The following is a 5,623-nucleotide window of genomic DNA, read 5'->3' on the forward strand; positions in this document are numbered from 1 at the left end:
TCCCGCGCTCGCCCCGCCCCTCGCGTCCGGAGCTTCCGCACTCGCACTTTCCACACTCTTCTTAATTTTTTTTTTTTTCCGGGCCCCACCCGACCCTCTTTAGAAAAACTAACCTTCTAGTGAAGATGCGGTGATGCTTAGCACACTCAGGGATTTTTTTCAGGACCCATTGGATCCTCAAAACTCCCCGAATTTTGATACTTTCCCAGCCGGGCGCTGATTCGTCACGGCGAAGAGGGCCGAGGAGGCCCGACCTAACACAGAATAGGCCTGGGTTTAGCGGCTGTGAGGAGCCGGAGCCGCCGCAGCGACCGAGGAAGTGGCGGGAGGTGCCGAGCCTTGCGGAGGGGCGGTGGGGGCCGCGGTGGGAGACGGCGGATGGCGCTCAGCGCGAGGCCGCGGAACCACTGTGGCAGCAAGCAGTTCGGCCAGACTCCCGCTGAGCCCGCTCCTGGAGGGGCCCTCCCCGACTCCGGTCTTGCTTTCCTTTAGGCTGTGGGTCAGAGTCTACACTTCACTAAACCTGGGATGGAGGCGTGGAGGACTTGCTTCGCGGCGTTTGCGTCCTCGCAGGCGCCTCGCAGGGCTTCCTGCCCTCACGGCGGGGGAGTAGCTTTGGCGAAAATCAGCACGAGTTCTGCAGTTTTTCCAAGCGCTTTTAGGGTGTAATCGTCCCAGGTTTCTAAGCCAAGGCCCGGAGAGTTGACCCCCTCGCAACAGCTTGTGTGTCCTTGCAGCGCCGCGGGTGCCACCTGGTCTCCGCCTCAGCGCTGCCTCGGCTCCTTCGGTTCCCACCAGCGGGAACGACCGTCCCCACTTTCAGCTTAAACTCATCTGTCCTTCTGGATCCAGCTCAGAGGTCTCTTTGTGATGCCCTCCTGGAACTTCCCCCCTAGTAATCCTTCCTTTGTATTCCCGTGGCTCTTTGATAATAATGGTTGGAGTCCTGAACCCGACCCTTTGTATCGGACCGTGTTTGTCATCTCCAGTGCTTTATGAAGGCCTTGAAAGCAAGGTTCAGCCGTCTGTATTGGTCATCTTCCCATTGCCAGTGCCTACGAAGGGCTTGACCCATTCATTGTTAGACGCTCAGTAAGTGTGTATTGAGGCAGCCCTCTGTGCCACTCCAGGGCTCTTTCCACTAAATCATGAGTATGTTGGTTTACCAGATGGAATGAGTAGCCTCTTCTTTGGATACATAAACACCCGATGGATATTGTGGGTCACTGTGGAGGGAGAATGAACGTATGGGATCCCTGACCTGTGGTTACTGGAAAACAGTTGACATTTAGAGAGAGGCTGAATTCTTGGGCTTCCCGTAGCCCCCATCCTGAGTGTGCCAACAGGGACTAGAAGCATCTCTAGTCTGCAAAGCGAGGAACAAGTGATACTCTGTCCAATTTTTCCAATATTGTTATACTCATGAATAGAGATTAATGAAATTGAAGAGCATATTCAAGAGAAAGACTAAAGGAGAAGTCGTCTGCCCCGTGGACAGGCAGCTTGAGTGGTGCTTGAGAAAATGTACATGAAATTGCTTGTTAAAAAATATTCACGCCTGTAATCCCAGCTCTTTTGGGAGGCCGAGGCGGGCAGATTACTAGGTCAGGAGATCGAGACCATCCTGGCTAACACGGTGAAACCCCGTCCCTACTAAAAATACAAAAACAAAATTAGCCGGGCGTGGCGGCGGGCGCCTGTGGTCCCAGCTATTGGGGAGGCTGAGGCAGGAGAATGGCGTGAACCCGGGAGGCGGAGCTTGCAGTGAACGGAGATGGCGCCACTGCACTCCAGCCTGGGCGAGAGAGCGAGACTCTGTCTCAAAAAAAAAAAAATTATATATATATATATGTATATATCCATCAGAGACATGTAAAGGATTAAAGTACGATACACAAAGGCCTCAGAAGGGATTTCAGTACATTCTTTTTCTGGCTTCGTCCAGCAACTCCAGCCTGGTTTCTTCCCTGCCTTTGGGATTATGGTGGGAGGATTGGGCGAGTGCAGTGCTGGGGAGGCGCTGTGTGTTGTCTCTAGGCAGTCCTCTGAAGAAAAACTGCAGGTTTTGGATGTTAAGAATAAAGCACCCTATAGTAGGAAAGGGGTGGCCCAAAAACGGCAAAAAGGGAAAGGAGGGGACCTAAGTGGAGCAGTGACATTGTCTGATACACTTTCTCACTGGGTTTCTGCTCAGATGTCACCTTCTTAGTAGGTGTTTCCTGACCTTTTTAAAATTGCATCTCATTCCCCAACCCCCGGTGTCTGTTCATGGCCTGTGCTTTACTTTTTCTGTAGCACTTGTCGCTACCTAACATACTATACTTCTTATGAATTTATTTTGTTTTGTCTTTTTCTTCTTCTTTTCTTTTTTTTTTTGAGACGGAGTTTCGCTCTTATTGCCCAGGCTGGAGTGCAATGGCGCGATCTTGGCTCACTACGACCTCCGTCTCCCGAGTTCAAGTGATTCTCCTGCCTCAGCCTCCCAAGTAGCTGGGATTACGGCATGTGCCACCACACCCTGCTAATTTTGTATTTTTAGTAGAGACGAGGTTTCACCATGTTGGTCAGGCTGGTCTTGGACTCCTGACCTCAAGTGATCCACCGCCTCGGCCTCCCAAAGTGCTGGATTACAGGCATGAGCCACCGCACCCAGCCGTCTTTTTTTTCCCATCAGGGTGGAGATTTTGACATCTGGAACAGTACACAGCACATTTAGATGCTCAATACTTGTGGAGTAAATAAATGAATGACTCATTTTCTTCGCTTGGTTCTTTCTCTACCAAAGATTTGAAAAATTAAGAAACACCAGCCTGGCAACATAGGGAGACCCCATCTCTTAAAAAAAAAATTAGCCAGGTGCGGTGGTGCACATTTGTGGTCTCAGTTATTTGGGACGCTGAGGTGGGAGGATCGCTTGAGCCTGGGAGGTCAAGGCTGCAGTGAGCCATGATCATGCCACTGCACTCCACCCTGGGTGACAGAGGCCCTTTCTAAAAAAAAAAAAAAAGAAAAGAAAGAAGGATATAGGCAAGAGATAATAGAAAAATAATCTGTTCTCTAGTCCTGAAGAAACTAAAACTGAAGAGTGAATTATCCAGCAAGATGGACTTTACTTATTATGAGTTTTTTTCCCCCAAAGCAAACACCAGAACATATGCTCTTGCCTTTAGAAGGATATTTATGGTAACTACAGGACAGATGTTTGGAGTTGTGATTATTCCCAGAAAATTTGGGATACAGCATCAATATGACTATTTAAACTAAATATAACTATAAGGGTAGTTGGGAGCACTCACGTGGGACCAGTGGTTAACCCCAGAGATAATCTTAGGCCCAATTAAGACCTAACTTAGGCCTTAGTTTTCATTCTGGCAGCAAGATCCAGAAACGTGGCCTGCTTTCCCCTCTGACACTACTCATACTTTTTTGGGGTTCTTCTTTCCCCAAGACAGGGAAGCCAAAACTAAGTAAGCTAAGGTTCTAGTCCAGGTGTCTTTGAGTTCTTTCCATTGTTCTGTGGGAAGAAACGGGTGATGGAGACAGAGTTAGGGGTAGGACTGGGAAGAAAGGAGAAAAAAGGAGAAAATAAGACAGAATAAGGAAAAACCTGAAGTCCTTGGACACCCAGTAGTCCATGAATAGGCTCTAAGTGATCTATGAACCCTTTAAAATTATACTCAATTTTTATGGGCTTTTTTCCTGATAGGTTAATTCTTTCATGAGATTTTCAAAGAGGTGCGTGACTCAAGAAAGATTATGAACCAACCACTGAGCCATGGAGTTTGTAGTATGTTCTTTTGAAGCTTTTATAATGGATTTTTTTTTTCTTAAACAAGGGAAAGCGAGAGCAAAGCTTTACTTGACCCAAATAGCCTATGAAAGTCTGATTATAGACAACATGATGAAACAAACTAATTTTCTCAGCTGTTTCTGTGAGAGCAGAAGGAGTTATGGGTATTCTGTTTTCTGTAGCTGGAAATAGTTGTGAAATATTGAAGTTTAGCAGCTTTCCAGGACAGAGTGATCCACACTGTTTTACAGAATTTAAAAAGCACGGTTTGCTTTGAGAACCCTCTATGTTGCCCTCAAAATAACCTGGAGGATTTGGGACATGAGTGTTGCCCCATGGTGTGGAAAAGGATGAACGTTGAAAACAGGGTAGAGCTGGAGAATCTGGGTTGTGGGGTCTATTATCCACTGATAATATTGGGAGTCTAGGGCACAGTAGCCAAACGAGATTGTTGCAGGCCGTTATCTGGGCTGCCTCCTGTTTTTGTAATAAACCCTTATTTGGACACAAGCACCTTCATTTATTTACGTATTGTCTTTGGTTGCTTGTGGTTACAAGGGAAGGGTTGTGTAGTTGTTACAGGGATCCTATGGCCTGAAAAGCCTAAAATATTTGCTCTCTGGGCTTCGATGGAAAAGGTTGCCAAGCCTGGTCTAGAGTCTAAGCATGTGAGGGAAACTTGGAAAGCCTTGTACTGATTTTCACATATACCTTATTTTAGAGCCTTTATTTGTCATATGCCCACAAATATTGGCAATCTGTGTGTACATGCCGGCCATAACTTGTAAACATAGAACCAAATTCTGCCCTGTGGACAAACTTTCCTTTGATTTCATGTGTTGATAATTTGAGTAACGTGTATGCATATTGTTTAACTAAAATTTAATTTTGGCTCATGTATCATAATACATTTCCAATGGAAACTTTCAAATTAATGTAAGCATTTTTTGACTTCAGAGATTTTTTATTTTTGAGACAGGGTCTCACTCTGTTGCCTAAAGCTGGAGTGCAGTGGTGCAATCTAGGCTCACTGCAGTCTTGACCTCCTGGGTTCAGGCAATTCTCCCACCTCAGCTTCCTGAGTAGCTCAGACTACAGGTGCACACTACCACACTGGGTTAAGTTTTTGATTTTTTTTTTTTTTGGTAAAGACGAGGGCTCACTGTGTTGCCCAGGCTGGTCTCAAACTCCTGGGCTCAAGCGATCCTCCTGCCTCAGCCTCCCTAAGTGTTGAGATTACAGGTGTGAGCCACCATGCCCGGCCAACAGATTTTTAAAAAATTCTAAAAACGTAAGAAAACAAATTGAAGGACAAACTGAACTTTGCCAATACAAAGATCTCTAGCAAATGAATAAGAAATATGCTTATGTGCAGTATTAGTTGTATATTTCTGCATAACAAATTATCCCAAAATTTAGTGGCTCAAAATAATAATCACTTATTATCTTTAGAGAACTATTTTTTTTTTTTTTTGAGACACAGGGTCTCACTCTGTCACCCAGGCTGGAGTTCGGTGGCATGATCTTGGCTCACTGTATCTTCCACCTCCTGGGCTCAAACAATTCTTCCACTTCAGCATCCTGAATAGTTGGGACTACTGGTGTGTCACCATATTCGGTTAATTTAAAATTTTTTAATAGAGACGAGGCCTCACTGTATTGCCCAGGCTGGGCTTGAACTCCTGAGCTCTAGCAATCCTTCTGCCTAGGCCTCTCAAAGTGTTGGGATTATAGGTGTGAGCCACTGTGCCTGGCATAGAGAACATTTTTATACTTTAGACACTGTGCTTGGCATAGAGAACATTTTTTGTACTTTAAAAGCTATCATGACAG

The 5,623-nt window shown here is 45.9% G+C and overlaps 1 annotated feature.

Annotated features, from left to right (window-relative positions):
* Positions 239-533: a silencer, noted in NCBI's record as "tiled region #7873; K562 Repressive non-DNase unmatched - State 1:Tss". NCBI's record gives its function as "represses a minimal TATA promoter and a strong SV40 promoter by Sharpr-MPRA in K562 cells {active_cell/tissue: K562}" and the evidence as "EXISTENCE:reporter gene assay evidence [ECO:0000049][PMID:27701403]".

Source organism: Homo sapiens, chromosome 17 (genome assembly GCF_000001405.40).
Source record: "Homo sapiens chromosome 17, GRCh38.p14 Primary Assembly".
NCBI lineage: Eukaryota > Metazoa > Chordata > Mammalia > Primates > Hominidae > Homo > Homo sapiens.